General features: G+C 51.9%; 1 protein-coding gene across 6 annotated transcripts in view, besides 3 other annotated features; it reads left to right on the top strand.

The window, feature by feature from the left end:
• The window catches only part of SYT3 (synaptotagmin 3), a 36,129-nt gene that overhangs the window by 8,697 nt on the left and 12,517 nt on the right, over positions 1–14,915 (top strand). The window contains exons 1-4 of one of the 6 annotated variants that reach the window (NM_001424344.1): positions 9,528–9,619; positions 10,010–10,141; positions 10,247–10,384; positions 11,983–12,145. In NM_001424344.1, coding sequence (NP_001411273.1) covers positions 11,998–12,145 — 148 coding nt within the window. In that variant the 5' untranslated portion in view covers positions 9,528–9,619; positions 10,010–10,141; positions 10,247–10,384; positions 11,983–11,997. Of the gene's footprint in view, positions 1–9,527; positions 9,620–10,009; positions 10,385–11,463; positions 12,146–14,915 lie in introns of those variants that run through there. The other 5 variants (NM_001160329.2, NM_001160328.2, NM_001424345.1 and 2 more) reach the window with 5 other exon arrangements.
• Positions 1,031–1,080: an enhancer, noted in NCBI's record as "active region_14994". NCBI's record gives its function as "activates an Ori minimal core promoter by ATAC-STARR-seq in GM12878 lymphoblastoid cells {active_cell/tissue: GM12878}" and the evidence as "EXISTENCE:reporter gene assay evidence [ECO:0000049][PMID:35858748]".
• Positions 2,703–2,997: an enhancer, noted in NCBI's record as "tiled region #12891; K562 Activating DNase matched - State 8:EnhW". NCBI's record gives its function as "activates a minimal TATA promoter and a strong SV40 promoter by Sharpr-MPRA in K562 cells {active_cell/tissue: K562}" and the evidence as "EXISTENCE:reporter gene assay evidence [ECO:0000049][PMID:27701403]".
• Positions 9,923–10,217: an enhancer, noted in NCBI's record as "tiled region #12037; HepG2 Activating non-DNase unmatched - State 20:ReprD, and K562 Activating DNase matched - State 4:PromP". NCBI's record gives its function as "activates a minimal TATA promoter and a strong SV40 promoter by Sharpr-MPRA in HepG2 and K562 cells {active_cell/tissue: HepG2 | K562}" and the evidence as "EXISTENCE:reporter gene assay evidence [ECO:0000049][PMID:27701403]".

The raw sequence follows: 14,915 nt of genomic DNA, 5'->3' as shown, positions 1-14,915 counted from the left end.
GCAAGAGAGGCTCTGCCTGGGCCACCCACCCCAGCTCCTTCTCCCCACCGCTGCCTCCTCTACCTCCTCTTTGAAGCCCCGGGGTAGAATTACAGAGGAACTGGAAGGCTGAGACCATGTGGAGATCTGGGTTCCCCTGACCTCAGGGACTCCCTGTGTGCCCCAATCCCTTCTTTCCCATTTCCCTGTTTTTCCTCCTATCTCTCTCTGTCTCCTAGAGTCCCTTTCCCCACCCCTCTCTCTCCACCTCCCTTCCTCATTCTCTCCCCATCTCTCTGCCCCCCTGCCTCCTCCCCTCTGTCCCCACGTCTCCACCACTCTTTTGCTTGATTTCTCTGCCCTCCTCCTCCCTCCTTCTCTCCTGGGCTCCATCTCTTCAGTCTCCATCAGTTTCCCCAGCATCTCCCCAGGCCCCCGTCCCTCCTTGTCTTCATCGTTTTCTGCCTCTCCCTAACCCCGTCACCCTCTCTCTGTCTTCCCACCTCTCACCAGTCTCCTTGCCCCATCTCTATCCTCTCCTAGCTGCCTCCACTGCCCCCTTGAGGCCCCCTCCCCTCTGTCATCCCCTTTCTGTTCCCACTTGCCCTCTGCTCATCCCTGCCCCAGCCAGGAACTGGTTAGAAACAGGCGAGATTCCAACGAAAGTGGGTTCTCTAGTGGGGAGGGGATGGTGGGCAGGGGGCCTGGTTGCCATGGTGCCTCCAGAGGGAGGGGGAGGGGTGGGGGCCTGGATTCCTGGGTCTGAGGGAGGAGGGCCTGGGGTCTGGACTCCTGGGTCTGAGGGAGGAGAGGATGGGGGCCTGGACTTCTGGGTCTGGGGTCTCACGGGGCCTCTCGTGCTAGAGAGAAGGGGTCTAGCCGTGTAGGTGCCTGTTCAGCATCCCTTTCTCTGGGTCTGCAGAGCTCTCTGCAGGAATTGTGGGAGAGGAAGCTGGACCTTCGCTTATTTGTTTTGTCTGTCCTTGCAGTCTTTGTCTCTGTTACTTGTATCTCTTTCTCTTCCTCTTTCTCCACATCCAGATGGTCTCTGGACTGTCTGTTGTTCCTGCTTACTAAGTATTCGTTCTAGGTGGTGGCACCTTGATTTCCTCAGTGATTTGTTCAGTGGCGAGCTTAAGAATCAATCTAGGCTACAAAGTCAACCTTTGGACTTTTGCTGGACCTGTTAGAAAACAGGGTTTTTCCCCTGTGGTTTTGGGGCTGGTCAGAGCCAGGGTTGGAGCTCTCGGTGCTACCACATCACCATGCAGGGAGATAACTTGCCTGAGAGCAAAGACAACACGAGGGAAGCATAGCCCAAAGATACAGACAGTTGGATTCCTGGAGATGATTGGAACACCTGGATCCAGCAATGCCTGAAGCCCTCATCCAATCAATAAACTTCCTTTTATGCTTAGGTCAATTTGATTTGCGTTTCCGTTATTAGCAATTAAAACAGTCCAGATTGAAATAGTCTTACTCAGTTCTGGGGGCCCTGACCCCCTCCTGGCATCTTCACATCTGCTTCTCTCCCATCAAGCTGTCTTCCATTTCCAGCTGGCAATTTTATCTCAGCGGGATGGAGGACATGATTGCCTTGACCACAGGCACACCTGACCCTCACAGCCTATCTGTCTCCAAGTTCTATTCCTTCTGCCTCTCCTTCCTCTCCTCTCTACTCCCATAGCTCTAGCAGCCACTCAGACCTCGTCCTCTCCTGCTGGGACCCTTGCCCCAGCCTCCTTTTTTGTTTGTTTGTTTTTGAGACAGGGTCTCACTGTGTCCCCCAGGCTGGAGTGCAGCGGTATAACAGCCTTGACCTCCCAGGCTCAAGCAATCCTCCCACCTCAGTCTCCCGAGTAATGGGGACCACAGGCCCACACCACTACGCCCAGCTATTTATTTTTTTTAAGATGGAGTCTCACCGTGTTGCCCAAGCTGGTCTCAAACTCTGGGGCTCAAGCAATCCTCCCACCTCAGCCTCCCAAAGTGCTGGGATTACAGGTGTGAGCCACCACACCTGGCCCAGCCTCCTGGCCGCCCCATCCTCCATTCTCTCGCCCTCATTCCTCTCCCCACAAGTGAGGCTCCAGAGTGGTCTTTCTGTGCCCGGAACTGACCTGCCCCTGCCCTGCTCACGGCCCTCCCAGGGCTCCCCAGTGCCTTAGACAAACTTTCAGCCCCTCACCTGGACTGAAAGAGCTGCATGATCTAACCTCACCTCCCTCTCCCAACCTCACCCCTCCAAACATTCTCCACCTACCCTTTATTAATTATTTTATATAAATAATCCCTCCCGCAGCCAGGCGCGGTGGCTCACACCTGTAATCCCAGCAGTTTGGGAGGCCGAGACGGGCGGATCACGAGGTCAGGAGATCAAGACCATCCTGGCTAACACGGTGAAACCCCGTCTCTACTGAAAATACAAAAAATTAGCCGGGTGTGGTGGCGGGCACCTGTAGTCCCAGCTACTTGGGAGGCTGAGGCAGGAGAATGGCGTGAGCCCGGGAAGCAGAGCTTGCAGTGAGCCGAGATCGCGCCACTGCACTCCAGCCTGGGCGACAAAGCAAGACTCTGTCTCAAACAAAATAATAAATAAATAAATAAATAAATAAATAATCCCTCCCACACATCCCACCTTATTTCTGTCTCCACTCTTTCCATATGCTGTGTCTTCTGCCTGGAATGCTCTTCCAACCTTTCCCCATGTCCCCAAATGCCCTCATCTTTTAATAAGAAGCTCAAGTGCCCTCTCCTCCAGGAAGCCCTCTCTGACTCATCCTCCTACCAGTTGTGTTTTCTGTCTCCTCCCTCCGACTGTTTTTTTATCTGCTCCTTCTCCAGACCTCTGAACACTGCCCTCCGCCCCATCTGTCTTGCTCAGAAATTTGTTTCCTGACTCATCTCTGGCTCTCTGGCATCACGCCACAAGGGCCAGGCTTCTGGGAAGTTCAGGACACATGAGTTGAATGAATACATGATTATTTCCCTCTATTTCTGTGACCCACACTCAGTAGCCCCCTAACCCCATCTGCCCTGTCCCTCCTGGTCTTCACGAGCCAACATAAGTTGAAGAAGAGAACATGGGCTCTGGCATCAAACAGACCAGCATCAAATGCTGCTCCCAGGCTGTGCAATGTCAGGCAAATGTCTTCCCCTCTCTGAGCCTCGTCTTCCTTATCTCTTGCCTTCCTCAATGCTACCTTCAAGGGCTGTTGGTGCTTAAGTGAAGCAAGGTACAGCAGCACCCCCAAATCGGAGCCAGGCACCAAGGAGGCACCCAAAAGGAGGTAATTTCCTTTCCAGTCCTCTGACTCTGCATCTAGCTTTGGCTGGATGTCACTGTCCCTCCTCCTCTGCATCTCTCTCTGCTCCTCTGTGTCTCTCTTCTTCCCTCTGGGATTTGGGACTCTATGTCTCCATCTATCTGTGCCTCCATTTGCTCTCTGTGTCTTTATCTTTCTTCCCTTCTCTCTACCTGTCTCTGGAACCCTACCTCATCTCTCTCTGTGTGTCTGCATTTGATTTTTGTGGGGGTTTGGGTTTCGTGGGGGGTTTTTTTGAGACAAGGGCCCAGGCTGGAATGCAGTGATACAATCATAGCTCACTGCAGCGTCAACCTTCTAGGCTCAAGCGATCTTCCCGCCTCAGCCTTCCAAGTAGGTGGAACTACAGGCGCACACACCACGCCTGGCTAATTTTTGTATTTTTTTGGTAAAGCTGAAATTTCACCATGTTGTCCAGGTTGGTCTTGAACTCTTGAGCTCAAGCTATCTGCCTGCCTCAGCCTCCCAAAGTGCTGGGACTACAGTGTGTGTCTGAATTTGAATTCCTGTATCACAGGTTTCTGTATTCCTGTATCTCTGTCTCTCACTGTCTGCATCTCTGTAGATTTCTGTATGTCTCTGTATCTCCATCTTTCTCTCCCTGTCTTTCTCTCTGTACATCTGTCTCTGTCTCCATCACTCTATTTCCCCATCTCTGTTTCTGTGTCTCCATCTCTCTTTCCTTCCCTTTCTCTCTATGTCTCTGTCTCTGCCTCCATGACTTTGCCTATTTCCCCATCTCTCTGCTTCTGTGTGTCTCCACCTCTCTGTCGCCTTGCCTGTCTCTCTGCCTTACTCCGACCGACTTCCCTCTGCCACTCAATCCATCTCTCTGGGCCATCCCTGTCCCACTTCCTGGCCTGGTGCCCAGTCTAAAACACACACCCCTGAATCAGCGTTTTCCTCCAATTCCAGAAATACTGTCAGCGCCGCAGTGGTGGCAGGGATGGCCATAGCCCTGGCCAAAAGGTGTGTCTCCCCACCTCCCCATTCTCAGTGTTTGCTCTCTCCAGGAGGAGCACCAGGAGAACAAGTGAATCTGTATTTACACACATGTGTGCATGCCTCTGAGTGTATCTGCATCTACCTCCAGGCACATATGTGTGTGAATCTGTAGGTATTTGTGAAAACTCATTCAATCAGTCACCCATCCATCCATCCCTTCATCTATTTCTCCAACATCCACCCAACCATCCTCTATCTAACTCTTCATCTATCTATCCAATCATCCAATCATCCATCCCTGCACCTAGCCATCCACTCATCCCTCCCTTCATCTATTTCTCCAAAATCCATCCATCCTTTATCTAATTCTCCATCTACCCATCCAATCATCCATCCATCCACCCAACCCTCCACTCATCCATCCCTTTATTTATTTCTGCAGCATCCATCCATCCTATCATCCACTCATCCATCCATTCCTTCATCTTTTTCTCCAACATCCATCCACCCATCCACAAATCCATCCATCTTCTATCCATTCAACCACTGACTCATTCATCCCTTCGTCTATTTCTGCAGCTTCCATCCATCCCATCCAACTATCCACTCATCCACTCATCCACTCATCCATCCCTTCATCTATTCCTCCAACATCCATCCATCTATCCACCAATCTATCCTCTATCCATCCAGCCATTCACTCATCCATCCCTTCATCTATTTCTGCAGTATCCATCTATCCATCCCCACTCTAACTCTTCATCTATCCATCCAATCATCCATGTATGCACCCAACCATCCACTCTTTCATCTATCCATTCCTTCATCTATTCCTCCAACATCCATCTTATCCATCCAGCCATTCACTCATCCACCTATCTGTCCATCCCTTCATCTATCCTTCCAGCATCTATCCAGTCATGCACCCATCCATCAATACATCATAGATTCACACATTCCTCCACTTATCCATTCACATGTTCATTCATTCATTCAACCAACCAATAAGTATTGAGTGCCTACCATGCGCCAGGTACTGTGCCAGGCAGCTGGGACACAGCTATGAACAAAACAAAGTGCTACTCCTACGGGGCTTGTGTGCTTGACAGCCCTCAAGGTGCCAAACTCCCTCCTGCCCCCAGGTCTTACATGAGCTGTTCCTTCTCCCTGGAGCATTTCCCCTCCCCTCCCTCATCTTCACCACCTGGCTTATGCCTACTCATCCTTCTGAGCTCAGCTGAAAAGTCACTTGCTCAGGAACTTCTCTGACCTCTCTCAAACACACAGCACAATGGATGTTCCTTCCTAGCATTGATCCTAGTATGAGGATCCTAGTATGTGTAGTTATTTGATTATTTTCTGTCTCTTCCACTAGACCATGAGCTCTTCCAACCCTGGAATTTTAGTCTATTTTGTTCCCAGATGAATCCCTGCTGTCTAAAAAAAAAAATGCCTGGCACACATTAGGTGCTCAGAAAGTATTTCTCAAATGACTGCATGAATCGAGTTGAATGAATATGGAAGATTCTATCTCTGTCTCCTGGCTCCCTGTCCGGTGTTCTTTATATTGTTCTATACTCCTAGCAGCAGTAGCATGCAAGTCCTCAAATGGGTCCTAGATGCAAACAGCATGGTGGCTAAAGGCAAGGGCTCTGGATTCAGATCCACTCCGTTTTTTGTTTTTTCTTTTTGTGTTTTGAGACAAGGTCTCACTCTGACATCCAGGCTGGAGTGCAGTGGCACGATCATGGCTCACTGCACTCCAGCCTGGATGTAAACGCACATCCATCCGGGGGGATGCAAGAAGGCACAAGGACGGGACTCTGGGCAGCCTCCATTTCCCCACAGCCTCGACTTCTGGGGCTCAAGCAATCCTCCCACCTCAGCCTCCCCCCAAGCAGGTGGGACTACAGGTGTGTGCCACCATGCCCGGCTAAATTTTGTATTTTTTGTAGAAATGAGGTCTCACTATGTTGTCCAGGCAAGTCTCAACTCCTGAGCTCAAAGGATCCTCTCACCTTTGGCCTCCCAAAGTGCTGGGATTACAGGTGTGAGCCACTGCACTTGGTCCAGACCCATACAGTTTTTAATCTCCACTCACACTTTCCAGATGTGTGATCTTGGGCAGAGCGCTTCCCTTGGTGAGCCTCAATTTCCTCACTTGTCAAGTCCAGCTAAAGTTTAAATGAGCAAATGCATTTAATTTTTATTTATGACAACACTAAACACTAGCCATTTTTCCTAAGCACCTTCCATGAATTTAATTTAACCCTCAAAATAACCCAGTGAGATACAATATGATTTTTTCTTTCTTTCTTTTTTTTGAGACAGAGTTTCACTCTTGTTGCCCAGGCTGGAGTGCAATGGCATGATCTTGGCTCACTGCAGCCTCTGCCTCCTGGGTTCAAGTGATTCTCCTGCTTCAGCCTCCCAAGTAGCTGAGATTACAGGCATGTGCCACCACGCCCGGCTAATTTTTGTATTTTTAGTAGAGACGGGGTTTCTCCATGTTGGTCAGGCTGGTCTCAAACTCCCGACCTCAGGTGATCTGCCAGCCTCGGCCTCCCAAAGTGCTGGGATTACAGGCATGTGCCACTGCACCCAGCCAGAGTATGATTTTTTAAAGTATTATTATCTGCACTTACAGAGAGGGAAACTGAGGCATGGAGAATCTAAGTAACCCCTCCAAGGTTGCATAGAGAGGGGAGCAGAGCTGGGATTTGAATCCCAGTGCTCTGCCCCCAAAGTCACACAGAAAACCAGTGCACTACGGCTGCCTCTCAATGCCTGGGCAGCCTCGGAATCCGAGCGTCTCTTTGGAAACGTGTCATGGCAGCGTGGCAAGCCCATCTGTGTGCCCATCTCTGAGTGTGTGCATCACTGCGTGTCTCTCCCTGTGGAACAGGGCTACCTGTGGACCCTGGGCAGGCCCAGCAGGGTTCAAGGGTCGGGCTGTTAGAGTTGGCATGGGGACCTGCACTCGTGGTCTGTAGGTTTACACCCGCACATGCTTCCCTGGATGTAAACACACATCCATCTGGGGGGATGCAAGAAGCCACAAGGAAGAGACTCGGCAAACCTGGGAGGCATTTCTGGGGGTTCTGTGGTAGTATAATGGCTGCAAAATGTACACATAGGCAGCAATAGGGGTAGGGTGTAATCTAATTAGAGGGAGGGCCCAGGATGCGTGCTTAAAGTTGTATTTGCAGAAGCAGCAAGCAATTTTTACTTTTATTTACTTACTTATTTTGACATTTTTATTTCTTGCTCTAAATATTTATTTATTTATTCATATTTATGTTTATTTTTGAGACAGGGTCTCACTCTGTCGCCCAGGCTGGAGCCCAGTGGCACAATCTTGGCTCACTGACTGCAACCTCCACCTTCTGGGTTCAAGTGATCCTTCTGCCTCAGCCCCCCAAGTAGCTAGGACTACAGGCATGCATCACCACACCCAGCTAATTTTTGTATTTTTTGTAGAGACAGGGTTTTGCCATGTTGCCCAGGCTGGTCTTGAACTCCTGAGCTCAAGTGATCCGCCCACTTGGCCTCCCAAAGTGCTAGGATTACAGGCATGAGCCACCGCACCTGGCTATTTATTCTTGAGATGGGGGTCTTGCTTTGTTGCCCAGGCTGGATGGAATGCAGTGGTGCAATCATAGCTCACTGCAGCCTCAAAATCCTGGGCTAGGCCGGGCGCGGTGGCTCACGTCTGTAATCCCAGCACTTTGGGAGGCCGAGGCGGGTGGATCACAAGGTCAGGAGATCGAGACCACGGTGAAACCCCGTCTTTACTAAAAATACAAAAAAAATTAGCCGGGCACGGTGGCAGGCGCCTGTAGTCCCAGCTACTCAGGAGGCTGAGGCAGGAGAATGGAGTGAACCCGGGAGGCGGAGCTTTCAGTGAGCCCAGATCGCGCCACTACACTCCAGCCTGGGCGACAGAGCAAGACTCTGTCTCACAAAAAAAAAAAAAAAAAAAAAAAAAAATTCCTGGGCTCCAGCAATCCTCCCACCTCAGCCTCCTGCGTAGGTGGGACTACAGGTGCACGCCACCACACCCACTAGTTTGGTTTTGTTTTGGTTTTTTGGTTTTTTTGTTTTGTAGAGATGGAGTCTCCTACGTTGTCCAGGATAGTCTCAAACTCCTGGCTTCAAGGGATCCTCCCACTTCAGCCTCCCAAAGTGTTGGGATTTACAGGTGTCAGCCCAGCCTTTGATTTTTACCTAGAGGTTGTATTTATTTGGATGTCACTGATTGAGAGCACTGAGGGGGCCTCCGAGCCACCTCTCCAGGCTATGTAGATCTAGATCAAGCTTGTCCAACCCATGGCCTGAGGCCCGCATGCAGCACAGGACAGCTTTGAATGCGGCACAACACAAATTTGTAAACTTTCTTAAAACATTATGAGATTTTTTTGTGATTTTTTTTTTCTCATCAGCTATTGTTACTGTTAGTGTATTTTATGTGTAGCCCAAGACAACAATGCAGTCCAGGGAAGCCAAAAGATTGGACACCCCTGATCTAGACCTTACCCAAGGGATTTAACCTCCATGGGCCTCAGTTGTCTCCTCTGTGAAATGGGAATGTCATAATTGCACCCAAGTGAAAATTAAATGAGAAAACGCTTTCAAAGCACTTAGCACTTCACCACTTATAGGAAATGACAATTGCCATTAACTGCTATTAATATACCAGAAACTGTTACTCACTACTTTTGAGAAATATTCATTAAGTACCTAGTTGGTACCAATGTTTTGTCTACACTGACCGGTTTTTCAAACTGTGGATCCCTTAGGAAATAAGTTTATGGTGTGTATTTTGCTGATGAGGAAACGGGGCCTCAGAGCAAGAGGCGCACACAGGCAGGAGTTGGCCCAGGTGGGATTCAAACCCAGGTCCCTGCTAGTACCTCTATCCTGGCTGTGGCACTGTACCTTTGAGTCTCAGCTTCCGCTCCTACCACCGGCCTTCAGAGCGGCTCAGGTTGGAGGGCCTGAAGTCCTGGGTTCCTGGGAAGAGGGGCCTGGGGTCCCCGGACTTCTACCTCTGTGAGATAGCGGGGCGGAGAACTGGGCCCCCGGACCCTGGAGAAGCAGCACGTCGTGATCCTAGATCTCTGGGTCCCCAGTGTGGAAACCCACTGGGTCTCTGCTGCCTTAGTCCCGGGCAATCTCCCTGCTTCCTTGCTGAGGCCAAGTGATTTCGGCTTTCTTGCCGCGGGTTCGGAGTGGGGGAAGGAGGGGGTGCAGGGGGAGGAGCCGCGGACCTGCGACAGTGGCGAGGGGAGGAGCCGAGCCGGCACCGCGGCTGGCGCGCGGGGCTGCGGCGGCGGCGGCGGCGGCAGCGGCGGCAGCGGCGGCTCCGGGTGAGTCCGCTCCTCCCCCTCCTCCTGCCACAGCCCCAGCCCCAGTCAAATCCCTGGGGTCGGCCCCGGCGCATGGGGGCGGGGTAGATGCAGAGGCGCGTGGATCTCGGGCCGGGGAGTGGGAGCGCTGCAGCGCTCTCTGGCCACCCCGGGGGAGGGGCACGTGGCCCTGGAAGGGGGTCCCGAAACACCTGGGTGTATCCCACCCCTCGCCCACCGATCCCCAGCGCGGGGGGATCGTTTCCTCATTCCGTGGCCCCTAAGGACTTAGGGCTCCGTGGCTTTTCGAAGTCCCGGACATCGTTCCCCTCCCCTGAAGCGTCTTGGGACCCCAGCATCTTAACCCCCCAAAACCTTAAAAAAAAAAAAAAAATCCCATCCTCTCTGCAGCCCGGAGGCATTAAGGACTTCAACTCCCAGCAGATCCTGCAGCGCCGGGTCTATGAAGCCGCAGCAGCGCGAGCGCGAGACCTGCCGGGAATTGTAGTCTCTAAGCCCTCAACGGGAGCTGGGGGCCCGGAGGTGGGAGGGGGTGGCCGGGCTCCCAGTGGGTCGCCTGGGGTCGGGCAGCTGGCTCGAGTAGGGCAAGATGTGACTGTTAAGCTGAGCTTTTTCTCCCGGCCTCAGCCCCTAGATCAGACATTCTCTCTCATTACCCGGCGCGTGGGAACGGGTCCACAGCCCCTTGTCCGCCCTAGAACCCCCATGGGCTGCCGCCCGCCGCCGCCTCGGCTGCCACCCAGGACACGGCAGAGATAAGCGCAGGTGAGTGTGGCCATGCCTGTCTTGGAGTCCTGGCCTTCTGCAGCACCCCCACGACACCTGTCCATCTGTGAGCCCTGGTCTGTCTGTTCCTAATTCCCCTGCATCCCCTTCAACCCATCTTGATGCCTGGCTCCGAGCCATGTGTCACTAATTCCCCCTCTCCCCACATCCACCTCTCCTTCCTAGCCTCCTCTCATTTATGTGCTCATTGAACCTTCCCTTATGAACCCATGTCTGTCTGCCCAGCCCTCCTGTCTCCTTTTGTCTATCTGCGATCTCTAGCCATCATCTGCTGTCCTTGCCCACCCATCCATCCTCCCGTTCGACCGTTTCTCTTTCAAAGATATTTCTGCCCACACTCCTGCCTGCCCCTCTTCACCGTCTCTCGTCCTCTCGTCTCTCAAGCCCCCGTGAATTAATTACATCTCGGTTCATTCCTTGTCACTGTCCATCCCAAGTCTCAATCCTTGACTTTCCTTCTGCCTGCCTGTTCACCTCTCCATCTCTTCGGAGCCTCAGTCTGCCCTTCACATTATCTCTGTCTCCCCTCCCTGTATCTCTCCCTCCCTCAACTTGGTCCCCATCTCTGCATCTCCACCTCTCCACCCCCAGCTCCCACCATACCTATCCACCTCCAATCTCTCTACCCACATCCATCCTTCTCTCCTGGCCCTCCCCGCGTCTACCCCAGTCTGGCCTCCTTGGTCCCTGGACCCTCCAACTGCTTTCCTACCCTAAGCCCCTGTCATCCTGCTCCTACTGTCTAAAATGCTTTTCTTTAAAATGCTTTTCCCATCCTGGCGCCACTGCCCCCCGCCTGTGGCTGGCTCCATGTCATCCTTCAGGTTTGGGAGAGCCCTCCCTGACCGCCCCCCTCTGAGTTCCTTTGTGACACATTCTCCAGCTGTGTCCTGTGGAGCGCTTCTCACAGACAGTCTGACAGTGACCGGTTTGTGTATGTGTTTTTGTTTGCTTGTTTACTCTATGTCTCCTCTCGTTGGATTGTGACACCGGGAGGTCAGGGAACTCCAGGACCTTGTTCTCTGCTGGATTCGCAGCAACCAGCACAGCACGTAGGGCGTAGTTGGTGCTGGATGGATGTTTGTTGAATGAATGAATGATGAATGGCTGGCACCTTGTCTGCTCATCCCTAACTCCTGTTCCTTCATCTGTGCAGCCCTAATCTTTGTTTCCTCATCTGTCCATCCCTTTATTTGTGCATCCTCATTCTTAGCCCCTTCACTGCCCTTCTCCATCTCTTCCTCCTTGTTCATTTGTCCCTGTTCTCTGTCCTCTACTCCACTCATGCCCATCTCTGTCCCCTTGACTTACCCAGTCCCTGCTACTATCTCCATCCCTAATTTCTGCCCTCTTGTCTGTCTACTCCTAATTCCTTTTCCTTGTCCATCCCTAATACCTGTCACCTTGTCCTTCTTCCTCGAATCTCCATCCCTAATCCATCTGCCCCTAATCTCTGTCCCCTTTGCCCATCCTTCCTTTTCTCGGTGTCTCTTTCCACCCTTATCTCCACACCTGCCCACCCTGCACTCCCATTCTGTTTCCCATCTGCACCCTTGCCCCATCCCTCCCACACACAGGACCAGACGGCCACCATGTCAGGAGACTACGAGGATGACCTCTGCCGGCGGGCACTCATCCTGGTCTCGGACCTCTGTGCGCGGGTCCGAGATGCTGACACCAACGACAGGTGCCAGGAGTTCAATGACCGAATCCGAGGCTATCCCCGGGGTCCAGATGCAGGTCAGCACCCCTGCCTGTCTTGGCCAGCCCCCTGCTTGCACTATGGCCAGGAGACTCGGAGCAGAACTGCTCAGCTTTCCATTGCTTGTGGGGTCAGTCCCTCGTAGCGTCTTGCCCCCATTCTGCCTGCTGCTGCCCTTCTCCCAAATCTCTGATCCAAGGGGAAGGAGCTGTGTGGTCTGCTTTTTGAGTTTTGCCCTGTGGGCCTCCCTCCGACTACCACCACCAAATGCCCCCTTCAGATATCTCTCTGCATCTTGTGCAAATGTCAGGCTCTTGAGTCAGACTGACTTGTTTGGGTTCAAGTCCCATCTCCCTCACTTTATTAATAACTGCATGGCTGTAGGTAAGTGACTCTTCTTCTGGGACTCAGTCTCCTCATCTGGAAAATGGGGATAATAAAAGGGATGCTTCATAGAGCAGATGAAAGACTTAAATGATATAACACCTACGAAGAACTTAGAACAATGCTGGGATTCACTTACTGAGCACCAACTGTGGTCCAGGCAGCATGCGAGGTCCTCTGCACATCTCAATGATTACTCACAGTGACCCTTTGTGGAACATATAATCCCCATTTTCAACAGAGGAAACTGAGGCTGAGAAGGGTGAAGTGACCTGTCCAAGGTCACACAGCTAGAAAGCAGCAGGGTTCTGGGAATGAGGAAACATTATGAGTGCCATTGTCCAGATGAGGAAACGGTGACCAGAGGAAGCATGTGCTGAGTGATTACAACCACAGTCACACTTGCTGAGCACCAGGGCAGGGTCTGGCACCTCATGTGCAGGATGTCCAGGTGACAGTCATGAGGGATAAGGCCGAGAGAGCAGCAGTCACTTGCCCAGAGGCTCAATGGTAGCAGAGGCAGAACTGAATCCTGCATAGTCTAGTACAGCACTGTAGTCTGGAGGTGCCCATGACCACCCTCAGGTTCAATGATTTGCTAGAATCATTGACTCACAGAACTCAGGAAACTGTTTTTGTTTGTCTGTCTGTTTGTTTTTGAGATGGAGTTTCACTCTTGTTGCCCAGGCTGGAGTGTAATTAATGGTGGGATCTCGGCTCACTGCATCCTCCACCTCCCAGGTTCAAGTGATTCTCCTGCCTCAGCCTCCAGAGTAGCTAGGATTACAGGCGTCTGCCACCACGCCCAGTTAATTTTTTGTATTTTCAGTAGAGACAGGGTTTCATCCTGTTCGCCAGGCTGGTCTCGAACTCCTGACCTCAAGTGATCCACCCGCCCCAGCCTCCCAAAGTGCTGGGATTACAGGCATGAGCCACCACGCCTGGCTGGAAACTGTTATACTCATGGTTATGGTTTATGACAGTGAAAGGATACAGACTGAAGTCAGCAAAGGGAAGAGGCACCCAGGGCAGAGTCCAGGACAGACCAGGTGTGAGCTTCCAGTCATCCTCTCCCAGTGGAGTCACATGGACAGTGCTTAATTTTCCCAGCAACGACATGTGACAGCATGCACAGTCTATTACGAACCAGGAAAGCTCACCTGAGCCTTGGTGGGCAGGGTTTTTATTGGGGGTCGGCCTCATATACGTGACTGATTGCTGGTGTGGCTGACTTTAGTCTCCAGCTCCTCCAGAGGCTGAGCTGGAGGCCTCCAGCATATATCACAGTGTTAACATAGACTATGCCACATGATCCAAGGCCCCAGGTAAACAAAGACACTCTAATCAGGCAGGACATTCCATGGGCTTAGAGGTTCCCTCCCGGGAGCTGATCAAGGGCCAAACCTTTCTCTGGGCAAGGTGAATCTTCTACTGCGCAACTACACCACCTCTCCACGCCCAAATAACTCCCCAGTCTGTGCAGACAGGAATGGGGAATCTGTCAGGGTTTGTGGGATTCATGTTTTGAGTTGGACAGGGTCTGAATCAGGCTGGCGGTAGGGGAAAGCATCTGTTTAATTTTTCTCCACAATGACCCTGTTTTCTCAACTCAACCTGTGTTCAGGAGGCTCATAAAGTCCTTGCCTCTGGTTTCTAACAGGCCACCCAGAATGCTCAGTGAGTGTTGGTCACTTAAAAAGGAGCACTCTGGGCCAGGTGTGGTGGCTCACACCTGTAATCCCAGCACTTTGGGAGGCTGAGGTGGGCGGATCACAAGGTCAGGAGATCAAGACCATCCATGGTAAAACCCTATCTCTACTAAAAATACAAAAACAAAAAATTAGCTGGGCATGGTGGCAGGCGCCTGTAGTCCCAGCTACTTGGGAGGCTGAGGCAGGAGAACGGCATCAACCCAGGAGGTGGAGCTTGCAGTGAGCCAAGATCACACCACTGCACTCCGCAGAGATCACATCACTGCACTCCAGCCTGGGTGACACAGCGAGACTCTGTCTCAAAAAAAAAGAGAAGGAGCACTCTGGCCAGGCATGGTGGTGCATGCCTGTAATCCCAGTACTTTGGGAAGCCGAGGTGGATGGATCTGAGGCCAGGAGTTCAAGACCAGCCTGGCCAACATAACAAAACTCCGTCTATTCCAAAAATACAAAAATTAGCCAGGCATGCTGGTGCCCACTTGTTGTTCCAGCTACTCAGGAGGCTCAGGCACAGGAAGTGCTTGAACCTGGGAGGTGGAGGCTTCAGTGAACCGAGATCATGCCACTGCACTCCAGCCTGGATGATAGAGCAAGACTCTGCCTCAAAAAAAAAAAAAAAAAAAAAAAAAAAAAGCACCCCAAGAGGGAGGGGGGAAGGAAACCCAGAGTTCTTCTGCCAGTGCCTGGTATATGTCCCTGCAGGGCCACTTCC

The sequence above is a fragment of the Homo sapiens genome, chromosome 19, assembly GCF_000001405.40.
Source record: "Homo sapiens chromosome 19, GRCh38.p14 Primary Assembly".
Taxonomy (NCBI): Eukaryota; Metazoa; Chordata; class Mammalia; order Primates; family Hominidae; genus Homo; species Homo sapiens.
This window is presented reverse-complemented; position numbering and strand designations above follow the sequence as displayed.